This window comes from Homo sapiens, chromosome 7 (genome assembly GCF_000001405.40).
Source record: "Homo sapiens chromosome 7, GRCh38.p14 Primary Assembly".
Taxonomy (NCBI): domain Eukaryota; kingdom Metazoa; phylum Chordata; class Mammalia; order Primates; family Hominidae; genus Homo; species Homo sapiens.
The window spans coordinates 94,580,040-94,601,611 of NC_000007.14; the positions used below are offsets into that span (position 1 = coordinate 94,580,040).

The 21,572-nt window shown below is 35.9% G+C and overlaps 2 protein-coding genes across 16 annotated transcripts in view; one reads left to right on the forward strand and one right to left on the reverse strand.

The window, feature by feature from the left end:
• The window catches only part of CASD1 (CAS1 domain sialic acid O acetyltransferase 1), a 124,364-nt gene that overhangs the window by 70,231 nt on the left and 32,561 nt on the right, over positions 1–21,572 (forward strand). The gene's annotated exons all lie outside the window — the stretch shown is intronic.
• SGCE (sarcoglycan epsilon) overlaps positions 4,941–21,572 on the reverse strand; it is a 71,154-nt gene continuing 54,522 nt past the window's right edge. For 5 of the 12 annotated variants that reach the window (NM_001301139.2, NM_003919.3, NM_001346713.2 and 2 more), the window contains 5 exons: positions 20,607–20,818; positions 19,658–19,684; positions 18,736–18,924; positions 8,650–8,693; positions 4,941–5,476 (listed from right to left, as the gene is read on the reverse strand). In NM_001301139.2, coding sequence (NP_001288068.1) covers positions 5,460–5,476; positions 8,650–8,693; positions 18,736–18,924; positions 19,658–19,684; positions 20,607–20,818 — 489 coding nt within the window. In that variant the 3' untranslated portion in view covers positions 4,941–5,459. Of the gene's footprint in view, positions 5,477–7,738; positions 7,774–8,649; positions 8,694–17,890; positions 17,966–18,735; positions 18,925–19,657; positions 19,685–20,606; positions 20,819–21,572 lie in introns of all 12 variants that reach the window. The other 7 variants (NM_001362809.2, NM_001346717.2, NM_001346715.2 and 4 more) reach the window with 3 other exon arrangements.

Here is a 21,572-nt window from a genome sequence, read left to right on the forward strand (position 1 = left end):
CCTAAATAGCTCTTGAATCTCCCACCACTATCCGAGTCAAAGCTACCATTTCTCCAATTATATCTACAACAGATTTCAGACTGGTATAACCACACCCATTCTGCCCAACTGCTGTATCTGCTCTCTATATTATTGTTGGATTATTTGTATGTATAAAAAGGTCAAATATGACCACATCCTATTTTTCATTCTTAACATCCTTCAGACTTTATTTTTCTCCTTTAAGTTCATGCATGGTTTTGGCCTACCTTGGGTCTCACCTTCCCCTATACTTCACCATCTCATGCTTAGTCTTCGTTACTGCGGCTACACTGGACTTTCTAATGGAACTCTAGACTCACTAGGCTCTCTTCTTCCAAAAGGGCTTAAATAATGCTCTTCTATCTGCCTCAAATATTTTTTCTTATTCTTCATCATCTTAGCATTTTCTTTCTTTGACATTTCCCTAAATTTTTATTGAAGATTTTCTAATTACTCAAGTAAGATATGAATACTTTCTTCCTTACAAAAAATTATAACATTGCAAATAAAGTCAGGATATAACTTTCCTAATCTTAGCACCATCACAAGTTCAGTTAGATTTGTTTTTCCAAAATCACCTTTGTTCCAACAGATGGCCTTAGAACTCTTGAGTCACTTGTCACCTGAGACTACTCATCTTAGGCTGCAAAGCCACCAATTATTTCACAATGCACATAGTGTTTACTCCTGCCCTACCCTTTTGCTCATACTTGGAATACTTCTTCGCATACCAGCACTGAAACATATCATTCTCTTAGTTTCTTTTCAAATAAACTATATTTTCTGTTGCAGTTTGAATTAACAGGGAGTAGTCAGCCAAGGTGTTGCAAAGGATACCAATTGCATCATTGTCAAGAGCCCTCTCCAGGGAACACTTACTCCTTCAATTAACCATAGTCCATGGGCTGGCTTTTGGTATTACAGGATCAGGAGCCTGATTTTGCCAGAATCCCATAAGGAAAGCTACCATTTAGGGGTAGACTCACATTAGACACATAGACTCAAAGGCCAATTTTTAAATATATAGTGAAAAATATCACTCTCCTAGTGCCATGACCAGTGCTGTGTCTCCACAAAAGATAAACATGAGAATCCAAACTTAAATTAGAAATTGCTTGGTGCATATGAAATCAAGCTTAAAGGCTCTTAGAACATATCGTCAAGTCTCTTCCCAGGAAAGTGGTACCAACTAAAAATCTCACTGGCTGTATATCAATGCCAGTTTTAATACACTGTCCAACACTAGTTGTCAGGCAAACTTCCATTCTCATTCTTTCAATTGACATCAAATGACATTTTTTTCATTTCATTTCCAACTTTTGTTTTAAGCTCAGGGTTACATGTGCAGGATGTGCAGGTTTCTTCATAGGTAAACGTGTGCCATATGGTTTGCTGCACAGATCATCCCATCACCCAGGTATTAAGCCCAGCACCTACTAGATATTCTTCCTGATCCGCTCTGTCCTCCCATCTCCTGCCCTCCAACAGGTCCCTGTGTGTGTTGTTACCCCCCATGTGTCCGTGTGTTCTCATTATTTAGCTCTCACTTATGAGAACATGTGGCATTTTGTTTTCTGTTTCTACATTAGTTTGCTAAGGATAATGGCCTCCAGCCCCATCCATGTCCCTGCAAAGGATATGATCTCATTCCTTTTTATGGCTGCATAGTAGTCCATGGTGTATATGTACCACATTTTCTTTATGCAGTCTGTCATTGATGGGCATTTAGGTTGATTCTACCTCTCTGCTGTTGTGAATAGTGCTGCAGTGAACATACATGTGCATGTATCTTTATAATAGAATAATTTATACTCCTTTGCGTATATACCCAGCAATGGGATTGCTGGGTTGAATGGTATTTCTGTCTCCAGGTCTTTGAGGAACCACCACAGTGTCTTCCACAATGGTTGAACTAATTTACACTCCCACCAACAGTGTAAAAGCATTCCTATTTCTCCACAACCTTGCCAGCATCTGTTATTTTTTGACTTTTTTTTTAATAATAGCCATTCTGACTGGTGTGAGATGGTATCTCATTATGGTTTTGATTTGCATTTCTCTAATGATCAGCGATGTTGAGCTTTTCTCACTCTGTCGCCCAGACTGAAGTGCAGTGGCACGATCTCAGCTCACTGCAACTTCCATCTCCAGAGTTTAAGTGATTCTCTTGCCTCAGCCTTCCAAGTAGCTTGGATTACAGGTGCCCGCCACCATGGCCGGCTAATTTTTGTATTTTTAGTAGAGATGGGGTTTTACCATGTCGGCCAGGCTGGTCTTGAACTCCTTACTACCCCTCAAGTGATCTGCCCGCCTCGGCCTCCCAAAGTGCTGCAATTACAGGCGTGAGCCACTGCACCTGGCCAGCTTTTTTTCATATGTTTTTTGGCAACATGTATGTCATCTTTCGACAATTGTCTATTCATGTCCTTTGCCCACTTTTTAATGTTTTTTCCCTAGTAAATTTAAGTTCCTTATAGATGCTGGATATTAGACCTTTGTCAGATGTATAGATTGCAAAAATTTTCTCCCATTCTGTAGGTTGTCTGTTTACTCTGTTGATAGTTTCTTTTCATCTTAGCATTTACTACTCATTCTTTTGGTATCAACCAAACTTTAGGGAAGCTTCTCTGACCTTGCTGACTAGGTGAAGTCCTGCTGTGATAAACTTTTATAGCATCAATTACTTTCCCTTATAGCATTTATCACTATTACAGGTTGACATTTATTTGTATGACGACTTAATATCTGTCTTTTCCAGTAGAATGTAAACTCCTTGAGAACAAGCCTATGTCTAATTTGGCTCACCATTGCATCCTTAGAACACTCTCTGACTTATAGTAACATATTAGGCATTCAGTAAGGAAGCAAATGGTAGAGGTGTTTCATAGGAAATTCTGAAATGCAAATTTTTGAGGCTGCCCTATTTTTGGATGGCTTGCTTAAAGGCTTTTATTCATCCTTAATTGGTATGGTCAAGATATGAGAACAGCTCAGATCTTGGACCATTGATCCCAAGTGTCACTCACCTCACTTATTTGCTATGTATGTACTTGGAGGCACTGACCTTGATGTTATTTTCTATTTAATTTTCTTCTAAGTATTCTCTTAGCCTCAAATTTAGCCTTAATAGCTTTACTTAGTGCTCTTTTCTGTCATCAGTGTAGACTTACAGATGTGAATTTTTAATGCATACTTTGACCTAAATAAATGTTTAGGGGCTTTCAATTTCATTACTGCCATTGGCACTTCTGTCTAAAGATCAACAATTCCTTGTTGCTCACTGCCCAGTACCATTACTGATGTAGCCTCCAAGTAAGTACTGAAGGGGGATAGAAATAAACACACAAGCTTGGTGGGAGAAGGCCTTACTAAGGTCAATGTTTAAAAGAATCATGGTCCCTTAGTCAATTCTAAAGAACCAATTTATAGACATGGAACCTGTGGAACCTGGAACCTGGGAAATCTTGTAACCTTAGGTACACACCATGTGGAAATTGAACCTAGACCTTCCTCAAAGAGAGGCTGTCATGTGTATGGGTAAATATACCCTGGAGGATGGAAAAGCCACAAACTTTTAGGGGATATTTGGAATCTAAATCTGAGTTTACTGGAATTGCTGAAAATGTACAGAACCACTACAGTCAGTATTTTAGATCAAGGGATTATGCTGGCTAACTGAAAAGGTGTTTTAAGTTTACCATCAGGACCCAAAACTTACCATATAGTCATTTGCCCACTAGGAGAGTACAGTTGGGATAGCAGTCCTCAGCATGTGGCAGAATCCTCACTTTGTTAAAACAAAACAAAACAAAACAAAAAAACCCTTAATAGTCCTTAAGGACTATTAGGGTAGCATCAACCAAGGGGAAATTATCTGGACTCTTTTCCCCATCAAAATGTTAAGTCAGAAACAAGATCACTTTTTCACGGGGAACTGCAGCGATTAAAGCTATTATTAAAGATTTGTAAGATGCTGGCCAATGATTTCTCTCCCCATTCAATACCTCAATATGGTCAGTGCAAAAACCAATGCTAATTCCAACTGCACTTTGCAATCTCCAAATGGCTTCTTTACTAGAATAGATGAATAAAGTTCCTGATTTCTCATCTGTTGTCCATGATATGTCGATTGTGCATTACTTTATTCCTGCTCACTTGGACTATTAGGAGCAGTTTGATTTCACCTGGTAAGAGCAACAGTTTGTTTACTCTGTGTCTGTGCCAAAATCTGGTCCTCTGGAGCCTTGACAACATTGCATTCCTCCTAGGCCATGACACTGATGCAATACATTTACAATCTCAAGCTGATTACTCCTGGAGAACAGCAAGTGGCAATGCCCTAGTTAACTTAGGAAGAAATTAGAGATACATCTTTAAGAAATAAGAGAACCTACATCCTCTGTCCTAGAAAGAAGAGGGAGGTTCTAATGTCAATGATATGACAGAGTATTCTCCCTAAGTGGAAAACAAGTTACGGTACCTAACATTAACAGGGAATCTTTCTGGATTTTGGAATTTTTGTGACCTCTGGGCACCTAATAGGTGACACAAAAATTTGCCCAAAGTAGATTAAGAGAAGGTTTTCCAGCTAGTCCAGTCTGCAAGGAAAGCTGTCCTGCCAGGTGACATGATAGCCACACTGATCCAGTAGTATCCAAGATGCATGAGAGCCTTGAACATAAAAGAGTTACTGCAAGGTACTCTGGGGTTTTGGAGCTAACTGATGTCACATTAGCAGTAACTATTCTCTTTTTGTGTAACAGCTCCTGTCTTGCTTCTAGATCCAAATGTCCTCCCATTCCAGTAGGTGTAGCTGTAGAAAAAAAAACCCACCAAATATCTGATTATGAAGTCAAGTAAGTACGCAGCGTGGGCTGCCCTGCATGAATTGGGTGTCATCAGTTTCACAATCCATAAAACTAGGTTTATTCGAAAACACTCCCAAGTGGTATATAAAACAACAGGATTTACAGGCCACAAGAGTTAAAGTATTATTTAAATGGGTTGCTCAACTGGAACACGGAGGCACAGGCATTTTATATATTCATAGGAAGCACTAAAGTCTTGTGGAATGAGAATGAACACATAAACCTGTTTCTAGCGATTAAAAGATTTCTACTAAATAGGAAGCAAATAGTTTACTGAAGTAAATTTCACCAGTCATTAGGCTTCATTAATAATATTTATTTTAAAGATCAACTTTTATTGTAACAAATATAAAGTCATCAATGTTTTACAAATTGTCAAAAATGCTTTAAGTACAAAAAAATACATTAGTAAAATGAAAGTTATGTTGTATTATTTGGTATACACTTAATACTGCCAACATGCATAACATATGCCAGAAAAGCTCATGCATTATTGGAAGAGAAAAGAAATGTGATGTAACTGCTATATTGTCTGATTATAAATTCATTGCTTCAGTCAGTTTTCTTTCTTCAGGGATACCATTTACCTGCAATGTGTAAGAATGAATATGGGCAGGAGTTAGTCAGGGCATGGATACTTTTAGATTTTGAGCAAAGCAAATTATGGCAAGGAGAAAGTTTCCATCTTCTTAATACAATGTAAAATAATTACATTGCATTATTTCTCTGTATTTGGTTTTTTTAAAAAACAGAAAACAAAAGAAAAAATTCTAAATTAGTCTTCTCCTTCTTGGACCAAAGCTATAATATTTTGTATTTCCCAAGAGGTACAGTCTGAAAATTCCTCCCACAATAAACAAAAAGAATGGAGGTTAACTGCAGGATGTATAACTGTACCTTTTAATCGTGGCTTTTAAAAAAATATCATGTGGGCTGGTAGGGCAGAGAAAATGAGAAAACCTGAAGGGGCATCAAACCTAATGGTTTGGGCCTAGTCCAAAAGTTAGTGCAATTGTCAGCTTTTAACTGCTCTATTATCCCAGCTAGTGCTCAAGTCCAGGAACACAACACCAGCAGCTAGTTCATTTCTTAAAGCTTTGATAGGAATTTAAAAGAAAACAAGGAACTAAATGAAAAAAAAAAAAAAAAAAAAAAAAAACAACAACTTCAAGATATACTTTCCCCTGATAAATTCCATATAGGTAGCTACAAATAAAATTACTTGGTATCCAAGACGCAAACTCTTGTGCCTAAATTACCTTCATAAAGAAAACTGACATGTGCATAATGTTCTGTGGTACTTGGAAAACTCCAGTTACTGTTTGATGATAATCATGCATAAATGTAGCTGCCTCTATGCAGTATTAGGATAATCAGGGTAAAAGAAAAGAAAAGCTGCCGTACTCACAAAAATATATAAACAGCACTAAATCCATGCATTTTCAGATAGAAGAATTTAGAAATTGAGAAATAAACTTTTTCATTTAAATGAACAGAATGGAAATAAGGAATGTAAACTGCCCATCAGCCCTTCTCTCCAGGAGGCATGCCTCCATTTAGGTTTTCTTTTTTCTTTTTTTTCTTTTTTTGATTCAGAGTCTCACTCTGTTGCCCAGGCTGGAGTACAATGGCGTGATCTTGGCTCACTGCAACCTCCACCTCCCAGGTTCAAGTGATTTTTCTGCCTCAGCCTCCCAAGTAGCTGGGATTACAGGTGTATGCCACCATGCCCAGCTAATTTTTGTATTTTTTTAGTAGAGACAGGGCTTCGCCATGTCGGGCAGGCTGGTCTTGAACTCCTGACCTCAGGTGATCCGCCTGCCTTGGCCTCCCAAAGTGCTGGGATTACAGGTGTGAGCCACCGCACCCAGCCTCCATTTAGTTTTAAATGTACCAGAGGCACAAACACACCAATCTTGCATAATTATAAAAAAAAATGCTAGGGTGGTCTCTCTCCCTTTGGCACTTAAGATATTTTGGGGACTCACTAAATAAAACAATAACAACAAAACAACCAAGAGGAGATACTGTACTTTAGTCTATAATATGATCCAAATTGCAGAAAAATGTAAGAAAACAAGAAGGTAATAGGCTCTAGTGTTAACTAAAAAGGAGAGCAAAGCTTTCTTGACTCAAGCAAAATACCTGCTCCCTAAAATCTGTTTCAGAAAAATAATTTTATAAATTAGGTTAAACAACCTTAAAATCCCCTAGGAAAACTCTTTGGCTCTTATATTTGTTTAGGCATAAATTGTCCTTGTATTTGGAAGTGCTCTGTATTACTAAAATGTAGCAAGTTAACAAGAGTACTTGCTAAAAAATCTATGTGACTACTAAACAAATTGCCCTAATATCATCTACTCAAGTTTCCTAATTCCCCTAGTGGGTAAGTAAGTAAAATCTGGATTTTTAAATACTCAAAATAAATATTTACTGTTTTTCTAGAAATTGCCTGCTTCCTACTCACTCCATGCCTGAAATAATTAAGAATCAGAAGATAGAAATCTTAGGCGAGATGGAAGCTACAAGGTTAATAACGAAGAAGTTCTATCATTTCTATCGTAGAAGTATTCTTTTAGAAATTTTCCTTTTAAAAAATAGCTGTGAAATTAGTGGTAGTAGGGATTCATTTATCTTTTTTCTCTCTTTAGGTGACTCATTTTTATAACAAAGTTTGTTCCTTCATCAATCTCCTGAATGCTTACAAAGTAGCACCAACACATCAATATATTGAACAGTCTTGTTGAAACATGTTAGCATTTAATTAAAGCAAGTAATCAAAATTGTAGGGAAAAATTCTGATAAACATCTTGTAATTGAAATCTGATGAACAATTTCATTATACTTGCCTCAAATCTTTGAAAAGTTGTCAAACGAAAATCTCCTTAAATTCACGAAAGCAGTAATAGAGAAGATAATTTCTGAATGAAAACATCCAACACATTTCTGAATGTGCCTGAAGTTTTTAAGAGACTTACTTAATAGTTTCCCTACCACAATGCCGCTATTCATACTCAGAATTCCACACCCAACTTACATTTTTAAAACTTCTCTTGCTTTTCCAAAAGAGCTACAAAGGCATTAATGGTTCCCTGGCAATTAGAACTAGGAATCAACCACTAATTAGAAGACAATCATGAATAAGTTATCTACTCAGTATAGAGATGAATGAAATAATTGGCTGTGGAAAATTTTTAGGGACACTTGAAAGAAATAAAGAAAGCAAGTCTTAGGGAAATAGAATAATCCAAGGAGAATTGTCCGCCATCTTGTTGTCATTGGTCATGTTATAACAGCTTTTTAAAGCGGCTTTAAAACCAGGCCAGCCATTTCTCATTTATCCCCCTGAAGCCTCAGTGATTAGTCACAATGGTTTCCTTTTGTAAGAGAGCTTGAAACTTCAAGCTGCTCACTTACTGAGACAAATCCTGGATGCATCCAAGCTAAGAATCTTTCATACCAAGGGGAAGAATAGGGAACTTCACTGAAGGAAAGGGGTTTCATTCAGTCTTCCTTAATTAGACAGGACCTCCATGGATGCTTTTGCTCTAAGATCATTTACCCTGTGTTTATCATTCTGATGCCAATCTATGTAATAATCTAAGCTATTATTCTGAGGTTTTAAGTCTGATTAAGGAATGACACAAGTGTTTTGCCTTATTTGGTGAAGATAAAGCTTCATAAATTATATAGTGCCATAATTATCTTTTAATCTATTAGATTCATTCATAAACATTAATTTATTATTCTTAGCACTCACCTGTAGTCTGCTGTTGGGGAATCTGAGTCTGATGTGGCAAGTTCCTAGAAATGATGAACATTTTTGAGTAAAACTGTTTGTTTACACACTTGTAAACAGAGAGCAGACATACTAGAATGAAAAACTTTACGGGTAAACTATGACCCCAGTCATGTAATCCAGCACAATTCCCCTCCCCTTTCATGAGCTTACAGATGAGGAAACTGAGGTCTGAGGAGAATAAAAATTAACAATATTTGATAACATGCATGAAATTTTCACTGCGGGCTATACTCTAAAGTACCTCACAACAACCCTAAGAGGTAGGTGTTAATATTTTTCCCATTTTATGGGTGAAGAAATAGCCTTGGAGATCCAGGGCCACATAGCTAGGACATGGTAGGTAAAGATGTGAACACAGTGGCTTGTGCTCTTAACCTATACACTTTCAGATCCAGATCACACATTTTCATGGAACAACATATATAACCACCTTCATTCACTATCCCAAACATCTGTGCTCTTTTATCTTCGTGTCAGGAATGACACTGGCCATGCATCCAGATGCATTGGCGGAATGCAGAAGTCATCCTTGTTCCTTCCCTCTCCTTCAGTCCCCACATTCAATCACTTAGGGACTTTTGACATTTCTTTTTGTCTCATTTGGATCTGCCCCATTCCTCCCCATCTCCATTGCTAACTTGGTTGAAGCCATCATCATTTCTCACTTGGATCCTTGTAAGGGGATTGACTTGTTTCCTCATTTACATTCTTGTCCCCTTATAATCCACTCTGCACATTGCTGTCAGAATAATCTTCTAAGACAGGGGTCCCCAACCCCTGGGACACGGAACTGGGCTGCCCAGCAGGAGGTGAGTGGCAGGTAAGCCATCGAAGCCTCATCTGTATTTACAGGTGCTCCCCATCACTTGCATTACCACCTGGGTTCTGCCTCCTGTCAGACCAGCGGCAGCAGTAGACGGTCATAGGAGCATGAACCCTACTGTGAACTGCGTATGCGAGGGATCTAGGTTGTGCACTCCTTATGAGAATCTAATGCCTGATGATCTGTCACTGTCCCCCATCACCCCCTGATGGTACTGTCTAGTTGCAGGAAAACAAGCTGAGGGCTCCCACTGATTCTACATTATGGTGAGTTATATAATATTTCATTATATATTACAATGTAATAATAGAAATAAAGTGCATAATAAATGCAATGCACTTGGACCACCCCAAACCATCCCCCACTCCTGGTCTGACATGAAACCAGTTCCTGGTGCCAAAAAGCTTGGGGACCACTGTTCTAAGACACAAATCTGATTATGTCATTTAAATAACACACATTTCAATATTTCCTTGTATCTATCTGCAGATTAAATTTCAGATTTCTTAATGTGGCCTGGAAAGCCACAATATATCTCACTCCTACATGGAGTGCCCCATGTCTGCTTGAAGCCAACAACCAACTACCATGTCCTGTACACAATCAGCTCCCATTTGTTCTTGCTAACTCAACTCAGAACTTGTTACAGCATACAGGTATTACTCTTATAGTTTAAAAATTCCCATGAGAAATGTTATTAAAATTTTTAACATATTATTTTTAATTAAAAAAATCTCAAGAACCACCTTCCTATGCATCCTCACTCTCTAAGCAACCCACAAATTAGGTTACCATTTAGCATGCTTTCATTCACATGCTGATTGTCATTGTATTCTCTGTATATAATATTTAATTGCCCCAAAGTATATTAAGAATAAGAACCATCATATTTTGTTTAGTATCCTCAGCAGTAAGCATTATAAAGTATATACATTTATTAACTTACAGATTTAGTTTCACATATTGATACTAAAATTAGTTTATGAAAATGTACAATTTAGGTTCTGTATGGAAGAAACTCCAGGAGTCAGTCCTTTGTAATAAAGTTTGATCCAAGCTGGGGATTTTCAGTTTTTTGTTTTCTCTTTAGCACTGGGATTCCTCTTAATTGAAACCCTAAGCAGAACTGTGATGTACAAAAGAGATAAATGTGAGGTTGCCTGGGTTGAAACAAGGGAGTTAGGAATCCTGTCAGCTTTGTTTTCTTTGTCCCTCATGCTGGCCCCTACAGCAATTCTAAGAAATCTGTAAAAAACAGTTTGAAAACCATTGATATGAATTATTTCAGCCAGGCAAATATTATGTTCCAAATACAACAATCTAAAGTGGAAAACAGTGCGTGCTAGTTAAATGCTGTTTAAACTCTTAATCTATAGGTAACACCTTTGAGAGTTTTTTTTAATGTTTCAGTTCCACTTTAAAGATATTACTAGGGAAATAATAAACTCAACTCTAACACAATTTGAGGAAGTTACTTAATAATTCATCCCGACGATTATATTCGTTTTTATTGTTACTTATCAGCCTTATCCTTGTGTAGGCTAGAGGAGTATTTCTTTTTTAGCTTGTTTGTTCTTTCAGAATTTCACACAATGTATTTATATTGGTTTTGGTCACAAAAGTAAAAAGATCAATTTATAAACTACAAAGAGGGAATAAGTTCTACATTTAAAGATGGCAAGGCAAATATCTTTACTACAGAAGTCAAAATGCAATTAGATGGGCATCTCACACAGGGTGGGAGGATGTGTTTTATTTTACCTACTCAGGTATAACTGATCTGGGTCTATTCTACACTCAAAACGAACACAGTGCACCTTCTACACATAGGCGCACACCACACACAAGCACTTCCTCATTCCTTACCATCTCTAGCTCTACCTAGCCTGTCAGCAGATTGAATCAACACATTCTGACAAAATACAAAAATCAAACAGGATAAAGAAAATATAGAATGTAGGTGTTCTAACATAGGTAGTGGTTAGTAAACAAAGACACATGTTTTCCAAAAGCACTAGATTAAGGATCCTCCAAATTCAAAATCAGCATTTGGATGAGGTAGTTGGATGCCCCCCACTTCTCTTGTTGGCCCTCCCAACTGACCTTTCTGTGGAATTTAGCTTGGAAACCACTGATCAAAGTCAACCTATGCCCTGTCGTTTCTTTTCTAGCCTCCGTTTTTTCCTCTTTTGCTACATTGCTAAACTTTCTAAATCACAATGGGCTGGGCTAGGTGAAAAGACATGGCTGGTTGAGAAAAATGCCACACACAAACTAGCAAGAAATTCGGAGAAGATGCATAAGAAAGCAACTGTGTGTCTTATATTGATTTAGAGACTGAAAAGTATCCATAGTGGGTGTTCTAAGTGGTTGTGTTTGAACAATGCTCATGCACTCCTTGCAGTTTCAAAGGAAACTTAGATGAGTTATATTAAAAATGCTTGTGTGCGCAAAAAGGTGCTCAACCAAAAAAATACTGAGATTCAACATCCCCTGATTGGGTACAACCTATCTCCTGTTTTGAAGGAGACCCTTGAGTCTCCAAGATGTGTGCACATAGCTCTGTTTTTGTGGCTTCCCAAACTTGTAACTAAATGTGAACCTGTAAGTATTAAAGTGTGAATGTATCTATGATGGGCATATTTAAAACTGTGTATTTCATTTAAGAGTTGAAGGGACATACTTTATAACAGCACTGCTTCAGGCATACTGGAAAAAATGCCTTCAATCCCAACTCTGCTAGTTAAGATGCAGAGAATGCAGGAAGAAAGTGGCAAATTCTCATCTTTGGTGAGAGCAGGCTGCTAAAGGCAATTATACAGGAGCGGGGGGTCGACTTCAAATAGAGGCCCTATAATCCTTCCAAGGAGGGACCTTAATGAAGTCATAAAACAATTTAATGATTATTAGACTAAGTGAAAAGTTATTATGTGTAAACTGCATTATGTAGAAATTTAAGAAAACTGTAACTAAATTATTAGCATTAATTATTTTCTCATTTTATGTTCATTAATTTCATGCATTTAAATAGAAAATTGTGTAAATTAGTCATTGCACAAACTTCATTCTTTAAGAATGCAAGAGTAATAACTTGCAAATTAATAAATAAGTGAGTTGGGGGGAGTACACAATTATTTCTTATGTGTACAACCATTTTAAAGTAATTTGACATTCTTGGATACCCTATACCGTAATTCTGTGAGTAAGGTTGATGATTATCAACTGATTATATTGCTACTTGTTTCAAACTAAAAAGCAAAATGATGATTTGCATAAAGCCACAGAATCCATGCCAGAGTTCAAAGAAAATGACACTAGTTGTGTGAAATACAAAACATTTCACTTTTCAGTTAGTATGGTGACATCATTTAACAATAAGAAATAGTTATATATTTTTGGAAAACAATGGCTCTGAAATATTCTTGGCTGCCTGATACTTCTCAACAGGACACCATAATCTTAGTCCCCTGAAACACTGTCTTCAACTGATATTAACTTTTATTAAAACTTAATTTTTATTTATGGAATTTTACCATAAAGTTAGTTGTCATTGTGACCAAAAGCAGGACAAATGGAAAAATATTTAAATAAAAGCTAAAATGATTAGATACTGTCTTCAATTAGAAGACTTAATTCTACTTTTATACTTGTTAATTTTCAAAAGATTAAGTACAACCTATCTCCTGTTTTGAGAGAGACCCAATTATCCTGGATTAGGAATTATGTTTAGAATAATGAATAAGGAAAATTTTTGTGTAGCAAATTAATATCTTCCTGAAAAATGTGTGGAGTACTATTCCCCAATTATTCATTACCTAAGGGGCCTCATGAAGATGCCTACCACTCCAAAAAAATCAATTGGTATTGATGTTGGCATAAGAAAAGAGTAGTGAAGAGGCAGATCTTTCCCCAAAAGACAGCATACCTCACTACAAATTTAATATAATAATAAATTATTTTTTAGAAAATCAAATATTTGGGATCCTCCAGTCAATGTCCCTTTCCCCAAGCATAAGACTACAAAATAACATTTTTTCAATGGCTTTTAGCTGTTCCAGGCACTGTTTTCTGATTAGCTCTCATCTCTCAACCTCTCCACACCATTTTCCTCAGGCAGTTTAAGGAGGTATGGAAGAGTCTAGAGGCTGAGAAGTATAAACTCCCAAACAGCTCCAACCTCCTAGACAATGTGCATGGACTGCTATTCTTTCAGTTTCACATGGGGGAATTTAGGAAAAACTGTTCCCCTTTTAAAACTCCATGTAGAGGAATGTGAATAACAACCCTTCTTACTCAGAGCTCTGGATTTTCCAATCCTGAAACTTAAGTCTTTTGATTATTAAGCCAGGAATTCTCAATCTTTGTTGAGAAGCTCTCTGCAGGAGCTCTACCATAACATACACTTCCACCAGACTCCAAATTCCCATACTCAGAGCCCCAGAATGTGTACTGTAAAAGCTCTATGGTGATTCTGACACAACGTGGTTTGGGAACAAGGCTAGACTCTCTCTTGACGTTCCTTTGATGACCTAAAATGTTATTACTTGGAATTAAATTTTTTTCATTTAAATAATTAGAAAGGGCAATCATTGAGGTACACCGGTCAAATACGTAATAGATTTTTGATGTGAAGTCTTTGGTCACAAACATAACACCAGTCACAACAATGATTCTTTGGGCAAAGTCAATTTACTTTTAAGAATTACTTTACAATGTGATTTCCAGGAATGAATTTTAATAACTAAGACAAATGTCTATAGGGGAAAAAATTATTACTGCTATTAATGGCAACACTTATTCACTAGGCTACAAAGATAACTAAGTACAGATGCAGAAAAACTTACTATATGAGGGCATGAGGGACATACTACACAATACCTGGCTATAGCTCCTCATGACTGTCGAGGTCATGGGACACAAGAAAGGTCTAAGAAAATGCCCAGACCTGAGGAGACTAAGGAGACATAGTGATTATTGTGTCCTAGATGGAATCCTAGAACAGAAAAAGGACATTAGTGGAAAAACGAATGACATCTGAAAAAAGTCTGAAGTCTAGGTAACAGTAAAGTACCGAAACTGGGTTCCTCATTGTGACAAATGTACCATGGTACTGTAAGATGTTAACAACGGGAGAAACTGGCTGAGGCGTATCTGGGAACTCTCTATTATCTTTGTAACTTTCCTGTACCTCTACAATCATTCCAAAATAAAAAGTTTATTAAAGAATAAACACATTAGCCAAGATCAAATTAAGTTGGCCTTACATTTCTAGACTATGTGATAGTTTTAACAGCCTATTTATATTGTCTCTGTAATTTGAAAAGCAAAAGAAACACAGTACAAAATGAAACACCTCATTTCTAGGCATGTGCTACATCTCCAGGTTCTGCTCCAGCTTCCCTGTCCACTGCCTCTTTATTCATTTTGCTTATAACCTGAATCAGAGATCCTTCTGAGGTCAATGACCGACACTATCTATCCCTGCCTAGATATCAGGATAGGTAAATAATCTAATCTCAGTTCTGACCTAATTTAACTTTGTCTCTTATCAGTGTCTCAAATTTATCATCTGCAAATGATTAAACATTTTTTCTTACTGACTAATTTATGGTGCCAGTCTGGAGCTCTGTGAAACATTCTACCAAAAAGAAAATATTACTATGTAATTGATAATGGTGGCAGCCATTCATTACATAACATTGTGAGTTCTCTATAACTTTGATGTAAATTGACTTGTTTAAAGGAACAAACTAGTTTTATGCAGTTTTGAAAGAAAGCTTTGAATATTCTTGAGTCTTGCTTAGAAGCCAATATAAACCTTTAGCCATATCCATGTCTGAATATTTCCGGTATCAATCTGAAGAATAAACATGAAATCCTTTGGCTAGCTAAAAATTGTTTATGAATGATAAATTCAGTACACTTAGTATGAATGTGAAGATGAAATGCATGCCCTTATAGGAAGGGTAAATTAATAAGTACAAGACAGCATTATCCAAGCATATACCTGGTTATTGAGTACTGTAATGCCTCCCAAAATATAATATCACATTTTAATCTTGAGAATTCAATTCAATCCAAATGACCAAAATATTTGTGTGTGTCTACTCAGTGCTGAAGTAAAACTTTTAAAACATAGCTGTTTTTCTGGTAAAAAGTAAAAGTTGAATTTGCATAAAGGACAGCTATGATGAACCCCATACAATAAATTCCCTATTATCTGGCATGGCTGGAAAATGAGGTTAATCACATATTCTGGCTTATAGGGAGTTACCATAGAGACTGTGCACATATTATCCATTTCTAAGAATAAAAGAAAGATAATATACACTCAACACTGAAACGACACCGAATGTAATTTAATTTTCCTCTGATGAGTCAGACGCACTTGATGATCCTGCAGTGCCTCAGAATAATCATTGTGAACATCATCAATTATCTGTGTACCCTATTTATATAGAAGTGCTAGTTAATGGAGCTTTTCCATTAGCAGAAATCTGAATAATGTGAAGGTTTTCTGGACTTAAAAATACGTATGTGTTTAAATTGTTGCAAGTTCAATATAATAGCCTATTGCATTTGCAAATAGAGAGATCTGATCAACCTAATGACAGTCTTGATGGGGTTATGGAAGGACCAGAAAGATCCATTTGGTGTAAACTAGATAGAAAATTTTATTTTGCTTGTATATTAGTAGCAACATTGCAAAATTCTAACCACAGGGAATCAAAATACTTTTTAAGGAGCTATTCTTATTTTCAATATATGTGGTTAGAAAGGGTTATCTTAAAATGACAGCAACCTTTTTCCGCTCTTAAATTTCACTAGCAATAGAGTTTTATTGATTTACAAACATATTCAAGTTCCCCTACTCATTATAACTAGTTTTCTACTCTAAAATTCTACAGCACTGTTTGTTACATTATCAACAGAAGCATTTCTCAAACTGTGTTCTTTGAAGAGTTACCTATTCTGACCTTTTCCTATGGATTCACAAAGTGTATCAACACACTAAGGGACTGAAGACTGTTGTAGCTTAAAAAACAGAGAAATAAAACCTTTACGTTACAGTACTCGATAACCAGGTATATGCTTGGATAATGCTGCCTTGTACTTATTAATTAACCCTTCTTAAAAGGGCATGCATTTCATCTTCACATTCATACTAAGTATACTGAATTCATCATTCATAAACAATTTGGTTAGCTACAGGATTTGTTTCATGTTAGAATTCTGCAGTGTTGCTACTACTTTTTTCCAAGTGTATTTGATCATTCCATTTTTTTGAAGGATATCTGTCAACATTTCACTGGCACGCTAGGGTAAACAATATCAGAAATAATAACCTTAAAGAATAAGTACAAATTCTTTTCATTTTGAAAATGAATGATAAAGCCATTTCATAATTTTCATCTAAAAAGGGATAAGAGGTTGTTAAATTCTGAATTATTACAATATTCTTGAAATTTTACCAATTTTTCTCATCAGTATCTAATCCCGGTAAACTGGGTTTTATGATGACCCATAATAGGTGGGCTACTGACCACCAGAGAGCATAGAAACCCATCCGTTGCATTCAGTACAACTAAATTTTGTAGACTTTAATATTTATATCCCTGATATATTAATGTTTCAAAAATTCAAAATTGTAAACATATGCAATTTCACCCATTTCTTAAATTACCCACTACCCATTACTTACACTCTCATACACACATGCACATAAACAGGCACCTTAGTCTGTATGACCCTAAGTGATGTTAGAGAACTTTAGAAAAATATTCATAATACTTTTGGGTTTCTGAAGTATTCTGGATAAACTTATCTAGTCTATCTATACTACTTATATTAATTATTATTTAATCTTCAAATTACCACATGCATTCTACCTGGTTACAGAATAAGCACTCAATGGGAAAAATGTACCCAGCAGAGTTCCCAGGTAAATGTGTTCACTTTAATATTATATCCTAAGGGGTGTGTATGTGTCTGTGTGTATGAGAGAGAGAGAAAGAGAGACTGAGAGAGTGAGAAAGAGAGATTTTTCTGCATAGCCATTCCATCTATAAAAGTAAAGTGAAAAAGAGGAGGACCTCAAAAGCCAACTTCATGACTTCTAGTGCTTAGGGCAATTGAATTCAACTCATTTTAACATTTGGTTAAAAAGAAAAAAGGCCGGGCATGGTGGCTCACACCTGTAATCCCAGTACTTTGGAGGCTGAGGCAGGCAGATCACCTAGGCCAGGATTTCAAGACCAGCCTGGCCAACATGGTGAAACCCCATCCCTACTAAAAATACAAAAATTAGCTGGGCATGGGGGCAGGTGCGTATAATCCGAGCTACTTGGGAGGCTGAGGCAGGAGAATCACTTGAACCTGGGAGGCGGAGGCTGCAGTGAGCCAAGATCGCTCCATTGCACTCCAGCCTGGGCAACAGGAGCGAAACTCCATCTTAAAAAAAAAAAAGAAAAAAAGAGACATATTCTTATAAATAACAGTTTTACCCACCATTCCCTTATATAAAAATGTGGCCACTAGGCTACATTATATCAGCAATATATGATGTAGCATAATGCTGCATTACAGCATTATATAGCATGGTCTCCCAAATGCAACTGTACAGTTTCCTCACCCCTCACCCTTGTCTACTCCTTACAAAGTCCTTCTAGCCTTTCTAACCCTGATCCCTATAGCACTAGACAAGGTTTGCACTAATAAAATAGGTGTTTATAGTCCAAATTGGAGCTGCTTGCTCTGACATACAAGCAGATCATAAAAAACAACCCAAACACCCTTAATTCTGAGGCAAAAATTTAGATTACAAAGGTCTATGGTAATAACATTTTAATAGGTTTAAACCAAATAATTCTAATATCTCTAAAAATAATCAATTTGAAATGCTTAGGATATGGTTCTTTTTTTTATAATTAACTCATCTTTGAGCAAACATGTAATGTTGAGTTTAATATCAGTGTCAATTTCTTAAATATTAAGGTATATGTAGTCTTGTTTGGATCAGTGGGGGAAAAAAAGTGCATTTCCTAAAAGTAATTGTATTGTATATTTCAGGAGAGTAGGGGTGAGATTTACACAATGTCCTTTTGTTATTTTCTCTTCCAGTTATAAACAAACAAACACAACAACAGAAAGCTCTGTTCTTTACAGATATTAGTAAAAATATACATGCATATTAATAATTATGGCTCTAAGTGGACACTTACTGCTGCGTTTGCATCAATGGCATGTTTGTGCTATCATAGTTGTCTGTGTGTAAAGGAGGTATGATTTCCCCAGTCACAGGGTGGAACACAGGAAGCGTTGACAGGGGCCATGCTATCTCTCTATTCTTGGACATGTCTCGAAGCTCCTTGGTAGATTTCTGAATAGCACTGTGATGGACCAGTTGGATGCTAGGTCAAAAAGAAATAAAACAACATATATTTAAAATCATATATTAGCCTGATGGGTCATCAATTTGAAAAACTTATGAAGTATTTTTATCTTTTAAAATAATAAGACATTATGGCACTTTGGGCATTCAATAAACTATTTCAGAAAGGCATACATCTCACATACTTTTAATATAACAAAACTGAAAATTATAAACTGATTTTAAAATACATAGGTGTTTTATTAAACTAAGCTATGAAGCATTGTATTAATATTACTGTCCTAAGTAACCAACTAGTTTTCTATTTATTTTCTATGATTTAAGATAAAACTACCATAGCTTTTATATTTTTGCTTCTGGTGGGGCATTTATAAATACTCACAGAAGTTTCATTTTATGGTAGGTTATTACTGTAGATTCTGGAAAACTTGTATGAAAGGTCTTTTCATCTGTTCTCTGGTTTATAGAAATGCAGATTGGAAATCACATAATATAAATGGTAAGTTAATATTCTGAATCTGAAATATTTTAGGTTTAATTTTTATCTGTGTAATCTTAGTTTTCAAACCCTTTTTAGTTTTAGTTTCTACCCCTCCTAAATATCTCTATTTAGAAAGCAGCTTTCACATTTATGAAATAAACTATGAAAGATGACAAATGAAAAAAAGCTTGACACACATGTATGGAGCATGATGGGCAACTGAGAGGTGGGAAAAAATGATGAAGAAAATAACAGGAAAGAAGACACTTACTCTGGTGTTTGCATGTTTCTCTTTTCCCTAGAAACAAAACAAAATTTATGAATTAAATAATAGCATTGATATTTGGAACATTAAGACTATATGCTCATGGGATCTTGCATGATGTGGAAATGCTGACATTGTCACTATTAAATGCAACCAGGCAGCATTTGCCACCAGGTTTATGACATTGCTTGGATGAGTACACATACAGCGATGGAATACTGATGAGAAACACATAGAAAAATGAAAAAAATGGAGATTAAGAATCAAGGCCTTGATTGAAATAAATTCTATGACATAATGAAATCAAGCTACATGTAAAAATGAAAGAATTTGTTACTTGCTGCTTTATTAATTTTTTATCCTTTGCTTTGTTGCCCTGACTTCCAGATAATCTTGGGAGATTACCTTAATTGACATAGATGTCCTGAAGGTACTAACTATTCATGAAGTGAAGACTTGTTACTCAAATTATACCTTATTTTCATTAATTTACTCCTAAGTTGGGTTTTAAAAATATATTTTAAACATTAAATTGTGTTACCCTGTTTGACAGCAGAATGATTTCAAGAGTTTTGACCATCACTTCTGATCAAACTAACACAATTTTTTTAAGTGCAATTACCATGTCAGTAGATTCTGCAGTCTCTGCTCATGCAAGATGGCTTGTATAACCAAAATATCTAGCCTCAATTATTCTTGGGACTGTTTTGCCAGTGTGAATTTACATCTAGCCTTAATAATTTTTGAATAAAGTAATTATATCCCCTAATTTGATTTACTAGACTCAAAACTATTTTAATTCATTTTAAAGGAATAAAGTATTGCAGTTTGGACACAATTTCAATTCATTTACAAAGTGTTTTATGAACCAAATGAAACTTTGCTTTTAATGGAATCTTCTATGTTGTTATCTTAGCAGGATCTCTAATTATCTTATTAGTTTTAAAGTACTCACACGCCTTCCCGTCGGCAGCACATGATATAAGCAAGTATTAGAAAAAGGACCAGTGCCACTGCCGAGGGCACAGCCAGTGTAATTAGGAAATCCGTGTAATAGTCTCTGCTTTTCAAAGAATCAGAAGGGGGTTTGTATTCTCCACCATCAGGTAAAATCCCCTCTCCACGAATCACTTCCTGATAGGTGGACACTTGCTTTGTTTTATCAACCTGATATAAAAGAAGACAATTACACAACAAATTAATCGTTGCAAACATTATGAGATTTTAAGATCTGGATACACTAAAGCATTCTTTGACAAATTATCTAAAAAGCCATCTTTTCCAATTACTTTATCACCTCTTGAATTTGCAAGTATTTATTGGAGGTAGGGAATGTAACAAATGAAAGTAATAAAGGCTTTACTTTGGTCTACTTTCTATGTTCTTCCTAAAACATATATACATATACATTTACATGTGTACATATTTAACGTGTGTGCCTATACGTGTAGTTGTTCTTTTTCAGTTTCCTTCCTCTAAAGCAGTAGTCCTTTACACTACCATGTAAATGTCTTATTTCCTAGTGGCAAAGCTCAAGTGCAGATTTTACCAAACCTAAAACTGGCTGAAAACCAGGTATGCACGTATGGTTTCTAAGTTTAGCAAAAGAAAAAAGGAAAAAAAAAAGAGGGACAATTTCCAAACGTGTCGTCCTTGATCTTTCTGCCTTCCAGCTGACAGAAGTAACTTTTATGGAAGATAGTCTAGGGAATATGGAACCTATCCCAGTCTTACTTAATTCTATCCCAGTATCAAAAAAAAAAAAAAAAAAAAAAAAAAAAAAAAACTACAACAGTTGCACTATGTTAATTTACCTCCACATTAATTGAGCTGCTTTCACTGAGTTGCATTTAATTATGCTAAGGTTTTTATTGAAGGACACTAAAAATATAGCCATGTGAAATTTGCTACTACATTTGCT